Below are 14,396 nucleotides of genomic sequence, written 5' to 3' on the forward strand. Positions count from 1 at the left end.
ATAATTTGTCAACTAATTAGGAAGAGAGAGGATTAGGAGTAAGAAAAAACCAGAAGCACATACTATTAGGTGCTCAGTGAATATTTAAGAGGAACAGGGAAAGAGGGAGGAAAGGAAAGACAACACTGAGGGGAAATGGTTGAATGGCATTAACTGAAAAAAAAAAAAAAAAAGATTTGCCATTAATGAAGAGAAGGAAGAGACAGTATTCTGCCCACCCACCAGGTCGGTTCCCAGGGAAGCCCTTCAGTCTCAGCATGCTGTGGCTAAGTGGAAAAATTCATTGATCATAGGTTTGCCAGTTGGAACCCTTGTGTTATGCCAATCTCAGAAGCTACCAAGCATCAGATCAATTCTCCCACTAAAAAATACTAGGAGGCCGGGCTCAGTGGCTCATGCCTGTAATCCTAGCACTTTGGGAAGCCAAGGCAGGAGGATCACTTGAGCCCAGGAGTTCGAGACTAGTCTGGGTAACATAGGGAAACCCTGTCTCTACAAAAAATTAAAAACTAGTAGGGAATGGTGGTGCATACCTGTAGTCCCAGCTACTTGGGAGGCTGAGGTGGGAGGATGGCGTGAGCCCTTGCACTGACTGGTGGTTGCACCACTGCACTCTAGCCTGGGAGGCAGAGTGAGACCTTGTCTCAGAAAAAAAAAAAAGTTGCTAGGAGAAGATAACAGAGCCTCCTCCTGTCTGCTAGAGAGACATACAACCCATCCCAAATATTTCTTTTTCTCATCTATAAATCCCTCCTCTCTCTCCAAAGGGGGCTGCCTGGCAATGTCCCCATCCCTTCCAACAGCTCATGCCGCCCTGGGACACCATTCAGAGAAGCTCTGCCATCTGCACACCCCTCCAGAGGCCAGGGACAGCTTAAGCCAGAGTGCCTGGGTTCCTCCCTTCTCTGGGGTAGAACTAGTGGATGAATCCCAAAAGGGGTAAACATGGGCATATAGAGCCACCCTTGGGACAAGAAGTCTGTTTGTTTGGTGTTCTAGGAAACCAACAAAAGGAAATGCATTTTAGCCAGGAAAGAAAAGAAAAAAAACAACCCTGCCCAGCTATGAATGACAGCCAAGCCAGCAGACAAAGGTGAAAACAGACAGCTAAGGAAGGGACTAGCTATGCGCCCATGGGAGAGAGCACCTGACATGGGCCCAGTGTGAGAGCTACAATCACCTTACACAAATAGAATGGTCACTGTGTTACCAACCATGAGTATCCTTTGGATCAACCAAAGGTTGTGTATGCAGCATGCAGCATTCTAATTCTAGAAGGCGACAGAGGTGAGCCAGCTATGTCCAAAATCAGTCTCATTTATAAACTGTGTGTTCCTGGGAAGTATGTGTGCATGTTTGTGTGTGTGTGTGGGTGTGTGTACTGTCATGTGCCAGCGATAGACCTTATCTTCATTGGGTACTCCCTGCTGCTGCTGCTTTTGCTAAAATATCTTGGACTCTGCACTGACATATGAGAAGCTATTGGCCTTTTTAGCTTTCTCCTGAACTTTCTGCCTTCCACTCTCCATTTCTCAGGCCAATTTGCCATTCCCACATGGGAAGACATCTACCTGTGCTACAGATTTGACTAGACTGAGATAAACCCATGAAAACATGTCATCACATGTCAGCAAAGCTCTCAAATAAAAATTAGCTATAGAACAATAGGCATGTCACTGTCAGATTGACTGCCTCCAGGTGTGCTTCACGGCCAATATCAAGGAAGGTCCTTACTGGGCTGGAGCTGACACTGCCCCATCCTATTTGACCCATTACAGAAAGACCAAAGCTAGGACATATCATATCATGTCATAACATGATAAAACCCGGGAATAATCAGACCTGTATTTTGCTGTTACCCTGACCAATAAGTCACTATATTTTGTACATAGGAAGCAATGTTATCCCATAGGGTCTTCTAAAAGGAAGTTCCATCTTCAGATTATTCAGAACCAACTAGGTCAAGATCTGCCTAACAACACAGCTTCCTGAACATATTAAGCATAAAACTCAGAGGCAAGAACCTTGAGAAACATGTGCCAAAGTTCAGGGAATGGTCAGACACAGAAAAACAATGCTTGGCTAAGGAGCTGAAGTGTGTTTCAAAGAAAACAAGAAGAGCCTGATGTCTCATTCACCTCTCCTGGACAGCTGCCTTCTTCCGAGATGCCCAGCTTATTTGCCTGGATTCATCACGAGAGAAGTAGTTTTTAGATATATTCCACCATCTAGAGAAAGGAAATATCACTTTTTTGAAGGCGAACCAAGAAGTCTGTTTTGGGGTTGATAAATTTCTGACAGTTGCTCCCAGAGTATTTTCAACTCAAAGTATAATTTCATAAAGAGGCTTATTATGTTTTAAATTGTCTGTCTGTAAAATATACTTTCATGAAATTTTGTTTTCTCGGAATCTTCCTTTTTCCTTCTTGTATGAATCTAATGAACTTGAATTTCCAAAGTCATTGAGGTAGGAAAGGTATGTAACATTATGCTTGAGCTTTAGGTCAATAATTTATACGATAGTGGTGGTTTTGTTTTGTTTCGTTTTGTTGAGACAGAGTCTCGTCCTGTCACCCAGGCTGGAGTGCAATGGCATGATCTTGGCTCACTGCAACCCCTGCCTCCCAGGTTCAAGTGATTCTCCCACCTCAGCCTCCCAGGTAGCTGGGATTACAGGTATGCACCTCCATGCCTGGTTAATTTTTGTGTTTTTAGTAGAGACAGGGTTTCACCATGTTGGCTGGGCTGGTCTCCAACTCCTGACCTCAAGTGATCCACCCACCTTGGCCTCCCAGATTCTGGAGTTTTTTAAATGGGTCACCCTATAGAAGGCATGAAGTCATAGAATCATAATAATCACCAAAACCAACCATTGATTTCAATACTAGAAAATTTGAGACACCAGAAGGTGAAGTGACTTGCCTAGAGCCATACAATGGCAGAGGCAGGGACTGCAACCCACTATGAAAGCTTAGGGCTCTTCTCACCCTTTGGTGGCCAAAAGTATTTTGAAATTTTGACCAAAAAAATTAATGTTTATTGATCACTTTAAATCCAAAAGATGAATCCACTGGATTCCACAGTAAATTGGGTGGAATGTAAGGGAGGGATCAAAGGGCAGTGAATATATGAATGGGGAGGAGAACCATTTAGCTAGGTGCAAAAGTAATTGCGGTTTTTGCAATACTTTTGCACCAACCTAATAATTGTTCATAATTCTAAGAGCTATTCGGATCCCATTAGGAGCTTAAAAGGGACAAATGTGCTCAGGGCATGCAGTTTTTGCCTTCCGGAACTAGATCAGGATCATGCATTTAAGCTAGAAAATGGAAAGAGGAGTTGCTTCACCCACAGTCAGTGCTATTGCATCAACCAATCCCTGCCATTCTGCAGTTTCCTGGTGTATCTGCCCGGAGTCACACAGTCTTTCCTGCTAAGCCTCAGCGTCTCCTCCAAGCCACATCAAAATCTTTCCTTCTGGGCCTTTCCCAGAAGTGAATTCTTGCTGGAAGGTATAAAAGACCAGCTCCTCCAAGCAGAGCAACTCCCTGGCTGCCGTGAAAAGACAAGGCACTGGGCAGGTAAGACTCGTCAACTTTCATCTTTCCTGGTTTCTGCAAAGTTGATGATGAAATTTCCTAACGTCTTCTCAGAAAGCTTAACACTGGATTTAGACTTGTCTCTATCAGGCACTTTCTGGTGCCAGCTTTAGCCACCCCATGGCACACTCCTCTTGTTTGGTATAAGAGAGAATGTAATTAAGCCTCCCCCCACCACTGTGGGGGAAAAAGGCTTTTCTGTGTCTGAAAACTATGTCAGAGAATCATAAACTCTTAGGGCTGGAAGGTACCATAGACCTCTCTTATCCACCTTGTTTAGGAACTGAGACTTAAGCAATTTAATGTGTCCAGAGTCACACAGGAATTTGGGGGAAAACAGTGACAGAATGGTGCTCCCTGTGCTGTTCTTGAGACAGTGTGATGAAATCTGGCCTCTCCACTATAGTGGAGATTTTGCAGTGTTTTAAGGGGTTCCCTAAGCCGGAGCTGTCAGGTCTTCATCTCATTTCCAGCATCTCATGCCTGCCATCTGCAGCAGATCCGACCATCTAGTTTGCCCTCAATGTCTAGTCCTAGCTGTCTTAAGTGCCCTGTGGACACCTGGCTCTCAAGCAGGTGTGTGACCTGTATGCAGCGGTAGTAGGCAGGCTTCATTTTGGGGGAATGGGGTGGTTAAATTATATTTGTTTTTTATGCAATTGTGTGCCTCAAATCTTTCAGTTGAAGTAGATTATTTCCGCTCTAGAGGGCTTGATAAGAGCTATCTCTTCATTCTCATCCTGATCTTGGAGTCACTCAAAAGATCAAGAGAGTGTTCCTGCAGGTGATGGGGCAAGAATTATGGCTTTCCTATTGGCTCACTCCACCACCCTCCACAGGGCTCTTTACAATCATGGAAGAGAATCTCACTGACTTCATCCCTTCTCAGGCCTTCCCCCTATCTCCTTGGTGACTGCTCAGCGACATTGAGAACCAAAGTCTGGAAGGCCTTGGTACTCAGAGTGTGGTCTGCAGACCAGCAACATCATCATCACCTGGAGCTTACTGGAAATGCAGACTTTCAGGCCCCTTCTATGACCTTCTGAGTCAGAATCTGCATTTACCAAAATCCCTAGGTGATAGTAGGCACATTACAGTGTGAGAGGCTTGCCGAGGGACTATCTCTGCCCTCTCCCTCTGCAACCTCCAGATGCTGAATTTCTCTGCTCTAGGAGTTTTATTCATTCAGCATGCACCCAACACCTATTATGTATTGACATGCTTAGGTCCTGGGAAAACAAATAAATAAGATGGAGCCCTTGAGGAGTTCATGGTCTGATAGGGGAAACAGATGTGAAGACAGTAATATGAGATATGGATGAAATACTGTGGGAGGACAGAAAAAGGAACGATCTAACTTTTCCTGGAGAAAACTGGTAAACTTCACAGAGGAGGTGAAATTTGGTCTGGGTTTTGAAGAATGAATAGGAGTTTATTAGCCAGAGAGGGTATTGTATAGGGAAGAGCATGAGTAGAGGCATGGGATTGTGGACCAGCCTGGCATTTGAGGGGCAAAGGCTGTGGCTCTGTCTCCAGATAGTGCTTCATGTCCCAGGGAAGGCTCCAGGCTTTGCTGCAAATCAAAGGGCTTGGGAAATGGTTTCTGCACTCAGCATGTTGATAAGAATATGGATAAATATCTACACATCACAGGAGCCTCTTGTTGGCCTCTTACACTCTAAAGCCCCAGGCCCTCTTGCCCTGTGTGGTTCTGGCTGAAGACAGTGTCCCTCTAGAATCTTTCTGCACACCCCCTTTTCAGTGACATGACCTTGTATTCACCTGGCTCTGATTTTTGTTCATACCCGTCCCTCACACCCACCAGGAACATTGCCCAAGACATGGGAAAATAATTTCTCTCTGGCCTTGAAGTCCCCCTCCTCCACTTTCCAGTGAGGAGAGCATGAAGGGGGTCCTAAAGAAGAGGAGAGGAGAATTGAATATTTAAGTATTGTTTCCTGTTCAAATTTCTCAACTTTCATGTCTTCTTCTATGATTTTGTCTTCCTCAGGCTGTCTCAGATGATGTCTTTTTAAAAAATGGACTAATTTTTTACTTTGTGTTTGTCATTTATTAGGAAACGCATTAGTCATTCAAAGAACAATATAATGAATGTTTGTGCCCACAGCCCTCTTTAAAAAAATCAGTGATATGGTGGTTGCCAGGAGCTAGGGGGAAGGGGAAATAGGGAGTTGGTGTTCAATGGGTATAGGGTTTCAGTTTTTACAGGATGAAAATGTTCTAGAGATCCATTGTGCAACATGTGAATATACCTAACATTACAGTACTGTAGAGTTTAAATGACTAGGATGCTAAATTTTATGCTATGTGGATTTTTGTTGTTGTTGTTCTTTTCTTTTCTTTTTTCTTTTTTTTTTTTTTTTTTTTTTTGAGCCAGGCTGGAGTGCAGTGGCGCAATCTTGGCTCACTGCAGCCTCCACCTCCCAGGTTCAAGGGATTCTCCTGCCTCAGTCTCCCGAGTAGCTGGAATTGCCGGTGTCTGCCACCACGCCTGGCTAATTCTTGTATTTCTAGTAGAGACAGGGTTTTACCACATTGACCAGGCTGGTCTCCAACCCCTGACCTCAAGTGATCCGCCTGCCTCAGCCTCCCAAAATTCTGGGATTACAGGCATGAGCCACCACACCTGGCCATGTTTTTTACCATAGTTTGTTTTTTAAAGTCAATGATACCTTTTCCTCCAAAACCATCATCTCTGTTTGTCTGAAGGGCAGATTTCTGCTAACTCAATGAACCCTGCAATGGGTCCCCTGAAGTTGCAAAATATGGTGACAGAGGGATAGGAGGTCACAGAATCTCTTCCTCCTTGGGGCCATACAACTATAAGGACAAGAGCCCACTGAGAGGTCAAGCTGTTTGAGAACTCATCTTGGGGTGGGGGGAAGTAACAGAGAGAATCTTGGCCAGAGAGGTATTTATTCATGCCTTGCCCCTTCTCTAGAGTTAGCTGGCAAAAAGTACAACAAGATACAAATTATTAGGGGGACCACGAAAGGGCAGAGGGAAAAATTGGAGGCAGGCAGGGGTGAAGGAGGCTGAAATGACCTGATCCATATACAGAGGTCTCCTGGTCTGGCCTATTCCAAAGGGAGATGATTTGGAGAGGGTCTGCAAGACATACGGGGAAGTCTGTCAGGCAAAGCTCCAGAACTATGATTTCTCTCTGGGAGCTGAGCCCTGGGGAGACATGGCTGGGGGGCAACCTGAGGCTGCTCTCCTTAGTGTGCTTCTGGATTCCACCAGTGAACGCCGTGCTGCAGGGAGAGCACAGGCGCCCTTGTGAAAGCTGAGGAGCCTCTCAGGACCATGGTCTAAACACACAATCATTCCATCTGCACGCTGTGGCTGCCACCCCGGGCTGGAGCCAGAATCTCCTCAGAAGATGTATGGGGTCTGCTCCACTAAGCCCAGTGAAGACCCTCATCAGAAAACAAAGCTTCACAAATTTCAGTCTAAAGATTTGCATTCAGAGTTAAAGCTCATGGCAAAGAGGTTAATCCATGAGCTGGAATCTTTCCAGGCAGCCTGGGGCACAGCTGTGGGCTCAGGGGAGCTCTGAGCTTTGTCATAACTTTCTTTCAGTATTGCCATCAAGTTGGCACTTTGAGGGAAGGGGAAGCCCCTGCCAGGTTTCCGAAGGGAGGCGCTGAGTGTCTGCCTCTCAGGCATTCTCTCCTGGGGCTGGGCCAGAGGAAACTGGCTTGCAGGGAGCAATGCATCCTGCAGGGAAGGAGGGAGGGGAACTCAAAGGCAGGCTCCAGCCTTGGTAACAGCGTTTCTCACACCTGTGACAAGACAGGTACAGCATCTCCCGACCACAGGCTGTCAGGGCAGAATTGAACATTCTGGATCACTTGGTCCCACCTCCTCCCATAGCAAGCCAGGACCCCAGAGATGTTAAGTAACCTGCCCAAGGTCACAGAGCTATTGGAGCAAATGCAGAATGATAACTCAGGGCCTTAGATCCTGAAGCCTGAGTTCTTTCCCTTCCACCATGTCTTCTCCTCTTTCCATCTCTCCCAGTACCTAGCACAGGCCTGTGTGTATGGTAGATGCTTCATTCGTTAATGTGGTTTCTCCTTTCCTGTTCCAATATTAGGGTGTCTGGTGCTCCTTTGGCTTTCTCTGCTTTCTGTGGTTCAAACCCTCCCACTTGGTCTCTAGAGAGGCTCACAGTGTGATCCTGCATCTCGTTTCAGTGATGAGGGTCCTTCTCCATCTCCCAGCCCTCCTGGCTTCCCTCATCTTGCTTCAGGCTGCAGCATCTACCACAAGAGGTGAGTGTCTCCCTTTACGGGTTTTCTGGGGCTGCTGTCACAAAGCACACCAACTGGATGGCCTAAGACAACAGAAATGTATTCTCTCACAGTACGGGAGGATAGAAGTCCAAAATCAAGGTGTTGGCAGGGCTGTGCTCCCTCTGAAGGCTCTAGGGAAGAATGCTTCCTTTCTTCTTCCAGCTTCTGGTGGCCCTGGTATCCTTGGTGTTCCCTGGCTTGTAGCTGCAACACTCCAATCTCTGCCTCAGTCTTTGCGTGGCCTTTTTCACTGGGTGTCCTCTCCTCTTCTCATAAAACCACCATTTATTGGATTTAGGGCCGATGCTAAGGCAGTATGACCTCATTTTAATTCATAACATCTACAAAGACCCTACTTCCAAATAAGGTCACATTCTGAGGTTCCATGCAGATGTGAATTTTGGGAGGGCCATTATTTAACCCACTACACTCTCCTTGTTGAGAAAACAGATCCTGTCCTCCATGCTCCAGACCCCAATACAAGAGGGAACAGGGAATCCCACCATTACTCTCATGCCATCCCCTTCTGTACGTCAGGGTCCTGGTGATCAGTGGGTCCTCTTTGATGAACTTGAGATAGTCCACAAGACCATCTCACCAGGAACCAGAGAAATCCCCACAGTCCAGTAGCCCAAGCCACCCTGAGTGGCCACACTCCCTCTTCATCCCATCTCTGGGCATTCTAGTGAGATCTCAAAGAGCAATTTTGACATCTTGTTGAAGATCCAAGAGTATTCTTCCCATTCTGTGCTTTTTCCCCTTAAGGACTCTTATGAAACTTTCCTAATCTTGATCTCCTGCCTACCCAGATTTGAGGGGTGGGGGTAATGGCCGAGAAAGAGGGAGACAAAAGCAGAAGACATCGCAAAGGAGTGGTGTCTGACACCCTACTTCCTGCTCCCCACTCCAACCCCAAGCGCAGACTACCAGAACCTCTGCCATCTCCGATACTGTGAGTCAGGCCAAGGTCCAAGTCAACAAGGCCTTCCTGGACTCCCGAACCAGGTACGTGAGACACACACACACACACACACACACACACACACACACACACACTTCCCTTCACAGGCTTCCTGTTCATGACAAGCACATCTAGGCCAGCCCGGATGAGCCAATGAGGTGAACAATGATAAAACTTACCCTTCCATCCTCCTAGCCCTCCAAGTACATGACAAGTAGGAGCAATAGCCCACAATTCCTAAAGTCCTCAGCCTGTACATCACCTGAAAGAGGACATCTAATCTAACCCTAGAAGGACTTTCTTCCACGTGGCCCAATGTTTCCTTGGGCCATGCATTCCAGAGTCCCAGAAAGCCTCTCAGTAAAAGTTCTTCATTCATCCAGCTGATATTGACTGATTCAGCCAGGTCCACCAGAAGCCGAATCCGAGCCCTGCATTCAGGTGCAGGTGACATATTAGGGGAATGCTCACAAGGAAGCTGTGATGGGGTGAAGAAGCAGAAGTGAAGGGGGAGGTTAGACAAATAAAGTGGCTTCAAGTCTATCCTCAGCCTGACCCCACAGGGAGACCTGGAGCAGAAGTTGCTCCTCAGAGCCTGTCCCATCTTGGAGCGAGGGAGCAGAGCCCTCATCTGCCCACATCAGTCAGACATGGCTGCAGGCTTGCAGGTGGCTGAGAGGTGTTGTGGCACACCTGTGGAATTCCCGGGCACCCCCAGCCAGGCCACTCCAGTGGCTCAGAAGCAGGCGCCCAACAAGGTTACTGGAGTGAGCCTGTAGCAGATGCACCCATGGCAGCAAGGGGAAGAGCCCAGGGCCCACAGGGCACCAGTAGAGTCAACTGCCCTCCGATCCTGTACAGGGGCAACGTGGGCGCCTTCCCTCAGGAAACGCACACTCTAGGGAGAGGGCAGACATTGAGAAAAAAAGTAACCTTATTCTTTCCTCTCGCTGTCCCTTTACACTGGACCTGGGCTTCCACTCACTCCTCCTCAGCCCTTGAATGAACTTTCAAGCCGTCAGATAACTTTTTTGGTGACTTAGATGATAAAACACGCTCTGGACGCTTCTAGTCCCCAGACCAGGATTATCTCAGGAATTAAAGTGTCAGCATAAGAAGATAAAGCCAGACCTGCTCTATTCCTTCAGCTCAGAACTGCTTGAGGCCTCTGGCGGGAGAAGAGAGTGCAGTCTCCTTCTCCCTCTTTCTGGGGCTCCTCCTTCCCAGCTTGGGTTTCTGCTCCTTGGGGGTTAAGCTGAAGGAGGAGGGAAAAAGGGGTGGTGAGTCTACATCCCCTGAACAGTTCAGTCCTCAAGGGGCCGGAAGCTCTCTCTCTCTCTCTCCCCTTGGGTGCTTTCCTGGTTTCAGAGAGAGATTCTGCTGCCAACTCTGTGATCTGGAAAATTCTCTGGCCAGTGGCTCCCAGCTCTAACCCTCTCTGCCTGGGAGCATCGGGCCCACTCCTTCACCCCTCCCCACCCTGTCTTGGGGCAGGTCCCTTTTAAGCAGCCTCCAGAAGACTAGCAGCTTCGCCCTACTGTTGAGGCGGTGCAGATTCCAGATTCCGCCCCTCTCTCCGTGCTCTCAGGACACTGCTCTTCAGGCAGGTGTCAAACCCCAGCCATGACTCCAGGACACACAGTTAAGCCCTCCTCCTAAGACCTTTCTCCCTAGAATTAAACTAGCAAAGGAGGAGCCCCATGGTGTTGGGAGGGACGTGCCCAGTATTTCTGCAAATGTCTCCAAAGGAAAATTCTCTCTCGCTCCTCAAATTCAATCCCTTTATAGCCTCAAGATGGGGGACAGCATAAAAGCCACAAAACCGGTGTTCATACACCTCCTTTGCAAGTCCTGCACAGGCCAACCAGCGCCCTGCTTTGAAATGTGGAGGAGCCCTTCCCTGCTGGTTAGTCCTTGGACTCAGGGGCCTCACAGAGACAGAACGAGTCACATTTAAACATTCTGTTACCCAAGTACATACACAGTGCAGTGACTCACAATTTATGATAAGGAAAATGAAGGAAATAAACAGGGCAAGGGATGCCACTCTAGGCACAGGGATCAGGGAAGCCTGTTGGAGAATAGGAAGGAGCCACCCAGGCAGAGGGCATGGGGGTGGCATTCCAGGCACTGCAACAGCATAGGGTCTGAGGCAGGAAAGACCGTGGGTGCTCAGGAAAAGGAAGGCCAGTGGAGGCAGGAGGCAAGGAGGATCACGCATAAGGTGAGAGCAGAGAGGTGTGTCGCCCCAGGGTAAGCCATTAGAACATTTGAATCAGCGGTGGCATGGTCTGATTTTTATGCTAAAAAGATCACTCCAGCAGCCCTGTGGAGAACGAATGGGAAGAGGACAGCAGTGGAAGTAAGAGCTGTCTAGATGGGAGAGGATGATGGCTAGGACCGCGGTGGAGACTGTGGAGATGGCAAAGAGGTCCTTCCAAGACCCTGCCTACCCCCAACAGAGCCCAGCCCCAGGGCAGAGCAGGAGGTGAGTCCCTGGTGAATCTGTGTTCAGGCAGAGGAAGCATGCAGAGCCCAGGGCCGGGCGGGAAAGGAAGGAACATCTGGAACCTTGGATGGGACCTTACAGGCTAAGCCCAGGGAGGCCCAGCGCGGCCTGCCTGCCTTTGTTCACGGTGTGAGGTGGGGACTCTAAAATACCTTGCAGCAGCCCCTCTGGGACCCGGCTGATGGAGACAGTGATGCTCACACACGTGAGTGTGTGCTCTGTGCAGATGCAGCTCTGGGGGCCCTACATTCATTCCTCCCCAAAATCCTAGGAAGTACTGAATCGAACTGTAGAAAACAGCTGTTTTCAAGGTCAAAAATGATGAAACAACATGGTTCAACCTAAGATTACCATCATTATTTTCATTATACCAATAAGGAAACTGAGTACAAAGAGCTTAAGTAATTTGCCTCAAGGGCACACAACTAGAAAGTGGCAGTCAGGAGCCAATCCCAGTCAGTCTATCCCAAAGTCCATACAGAAGTCTCTGATGGGAGGAAATTGTGATTTCCAGTTCATAAATGAGGGGAAGTCACTCAGAGGTCATATAATTAAACCAATCCTGGTGGAACCCAGATCCACCCCTGTGTCTGTCCAGCTCTAAGCCCACTTTAGGCTAGCAGTGTCCAAGATAACTTTCTAGGATGATGAAATGTTCTATATCTGCACTGTCCAACACAGTCATCACTAACCACACCTGGCTATTGAGCACTTGAGGTGTGCCTAGTGCTGCTGAGGAACTGAATTTTTAATTTTAATTTTAATGAGTTTCAATTTAAATAGCCACATGTGGTTAGTGGCTACTGTATTGGACAGTGCAGCAGCTGGGTTATGAGGCCATGTTGTACACACACCCCTCCCACCCCTCCAGCGGCCCCCAGCCCCCTTCCTACAGGGTCCAGGCCATGATCCCCATCTCCCTCCACTGTAGGCTGAAGACCGCCATGAGCTCTGAGACTCCCACCAGCCGACAGCTCTCAGAATACCTCAAGCATGCCAAAGGCCGGACGCGCACAGCCATCCGCAATGGACAGGTGTGGGAGGAGTCTTTAAAGAGACTGAGGCAGAAGGCATCCTTGACCAATGTCACAGGTACAGAAAACCCACCAGCCCTCTGTGGCAGGAAGGGGTCATCTCCCCACAGGAGAAAGCAGAGGCCACCCAAAGCTGCACTTCCTGTTGAGAGCTATCTACTCAGAGGAACACTCCTGTCTCTCCCTTCTTAGACCCGTAGACGAGACTGGCAGAGCAAGGAAGGTCTTAGAGGACAGCTAGGGCAATGCTGTTTTTGCAGAGGAAGAAACTGAGACCTAGCAAGCTCACATGGCCGACTCCAAGTGAGGGGACATTGGTGCTCTTTGTATAACACCGTCTGTAAGGCCTCTGCCCAAAGGAAGTGCTAAAGTCAATAAACATGGGTTCCTTGTCCTAAGCCACAGTGTCACCACTTCCTCTAGTAGAAGAGACATTTAAGCCACATGTGTCAGGGGGATTTACTTGGGATAATGTCACAGGAGCTAAGATTTCCATCGTGTTCTGGGTAAGATGGAGCTATCAGTAAGTGAACTTAACTGATGGCTTGGTCATGGCCTCCTCCATCCCCTCCACTCTCACCCCCAACCAAATGCCACAGCCCACAGAGGGTCATGAGGAAGGGGTTTGGTCCTGACAGGAGGAAAAGGCTGCAGGTTCTCCCTGGGAAAACATCAAGTGAGGGGGGATACCTGGCCCAGGAGTTGGGCAAATTCCAAAGCTCCAAAAGAAGGAAACTGGGACAAGGTAAGAAGTAGGAAGCACTTTGACCTCTGAAATACAAAAGGTTCGGAGAGCTGAAATCCTGCCACCTTTCAGAGATGGCCCCCCGGAAGAAGCCCCCATGAGCCAGATTCCCTCACCTCCCTGCCCTTGCAGACGCCAGGGTGGATGAGGGTATGCGTTCAGAAGTGGGCATCTCTCTCCACTCTGTGCCCACACTGAACACTCTGATGCCTAAAGCCCCCCTACTCTGTCACTCCTCCCACAACCCTTGCCCCTCACTGAAAAATTACCTGTCCCTTCCCAACCTCTATCCTAGCTATGTCCCTGCTTGCTTGGTACTTCAGATGTGAACGAAGCTTTAGAAGAAAGCAGTCTTATCACACTAACTCATACTAACATATGCTTAACCTCCCGGGGTATTTCCATTCTAAAAGAAAGATCTGTCAATTCAAATGAATCTGGACCTGGTATACCAGGAATTACTAGCAATTCTGGGGACATTCCCAGTTACTCTGTGTGGCCTTGGGCAAGTCTCTTGAACATTGTGTTCTCATTTTCTTCCCTGTAAAATGGGAATAAAATGTATTACCTTAATGTGCTGTCAGATTAATTGAGAAACCACTTGAGAAACGCTTACTTAGAATGGAATGCATTCCAAAACATGCAGGTTCACCTCTGGTCTCCATTTCCTGCCTCCCACGGGTGCCTGTGAATGGAGAAAGAACTCAGTCCCTTTGGGGTCCCTTCTGTTTCAGATCCCAGCCTGGACTTGACTTCACTGTCTCTGGAGGTGGGCTGTGGTGCTCCTGCTCCCGTGGTGAGATGCGACCCGTGCAGCCCTTACCGCACCATTACGGGAGACTGCAATAACAGGTGGCGGGGCTTGGGGTGTGGGGGCCGACCATTCCAGCCACTCCGCCCCGCCCTGCCAAGGCCTTTGTCCCTTGGGCACTCTAGGCAGATCTGCCACTGCCTTGCCCACCTGGGCTGGCGTTCCCACCTTCCCCACCTTCTCAAGATCGCGCGTCTCCAGCCCTCTCCCTCCAGCCCACTGTGTGTCTCTGGAAGCGGCACCTTTCCCCGGGGCGGGGGAGCCCCGCGCCTTCAGGGGGTGGGCGCAGTTCAGAGACCCCAAATTTGAGAGGCCCCCTTCTCTGCGTCCCCTCCGCCTCGAGCAGAGGCTCCTTCCCCCATGGGGTCCTGGGCTTTGGAGCCCCGGAGCCGGCCTGCCGAAGCTCAGCGAGGATCGT

General features: G+C 48.7%; 1 protein-coding gene and 1 long non-coding RNA gene across 6 annotated transcripts in view, besides 2 other annotated features; one reads left to right on the plus strand and one right to left on the minus strand.

Annotated features, from left to right (window-relative positions):
* The first annotated feature begins 3,425 nt into the window (after window positions 1-3,425).
* The window catches only part of LPO (lactoperoxidase), a 29,935-nt gene continuing 18,964 nt past the window's right edge, over window positions 3,426-14,396 (plus strand). For 2 of the 4 annotated variants that reach the window (NM_006151.3, XM_011524808.3), the window contains exons 1-5: window positions 3,426-3,581; window positions 7,820-7,897; window positions 8,836-8,923; window positions 12,320-12,480; window positions 13,902-14,019. In NM_006151.3, coding sequence (NP_006142.1) covers window positions 7,822-7,897; window positions 8,836-8,923; window positions 12,320-12,480; window positions 13,902-14,019 — 443 coding nt within the window. In that variant the 5' untranslated portion in view covers window positions 3,426-3,581; window positions 7,820-7,821. The remainder of the gene's footprint in view (window positions 3,582-7,819; window positions 7,898-8,835; window positions 8,924-12,319; window positions 12,481-13,901; window positions 14,020-14,396) is intronic. The other 2 variants (NR_027647.2, NM_001160102.2) reach the window with 2 other exon arrangements.
* Window positions 6,520-13,926, minus strand: LOC124904038 (uncharacterized). Of its 2 annotated transcripts, none has more exons than XR_007065862.1 (3): window positions 13,784-13,926; window positions 10,011-10,134; window positions 6,520-9,357 (listed from the first exon to the last, which is right to left on the minus strand). It is a non-coding gene; the product is annotated as an uncharacterized LOC124904038 (long non-coding RNA). The 2 variants fall into 2 exon arrangements; XR_007065861.1 differs by having other exon boundaries at window positions 9,080-9,357; window positions 13,736-13,926.
* Window positions 13,626-14,191: an enhancer, noted in NCBI's record as "H3K4me1 hESC enhancer chr17:56326145-56326710 (GRCh37/hg19 assembly coordinates)". NCBI's record gives its function as "activates a minimal SCP1, AML or CMV promoter by ChIP-STARR-seq in naive and primed H9 embryonic stem cells {active_cell/tissue: H9 hESC(naive and primed)}" and the evidence as "EXISTENCE:reporter gene assay evidence [ECO:0000049][PMID:30033119]".
* Window positions 14,322-14,391: an enhancer, noted in NCBI's record as "active region_12462". NCBI's record gives its function as "activates an Ori minimal core promoter by ATAC-STARR-seq in GM12878 lymphoblastoid cells {active_cell/tissue: GM12878}" and the evidence as "EXISTENCE:reporter gene assay evidence [ECO:0000049][PMID:35858748]".

Source organism: Homo sapiens, chromosome 17 (assembly GCF_000001405.40).
Source record: "Homo sapiens chromosome 17, GRCh38.p14 Primary Assembly".
NCBI lineage: Eukaryota > Metazoa > Chordata > Mammalia > Primates > Hominidae > Homo > Homo sapiens.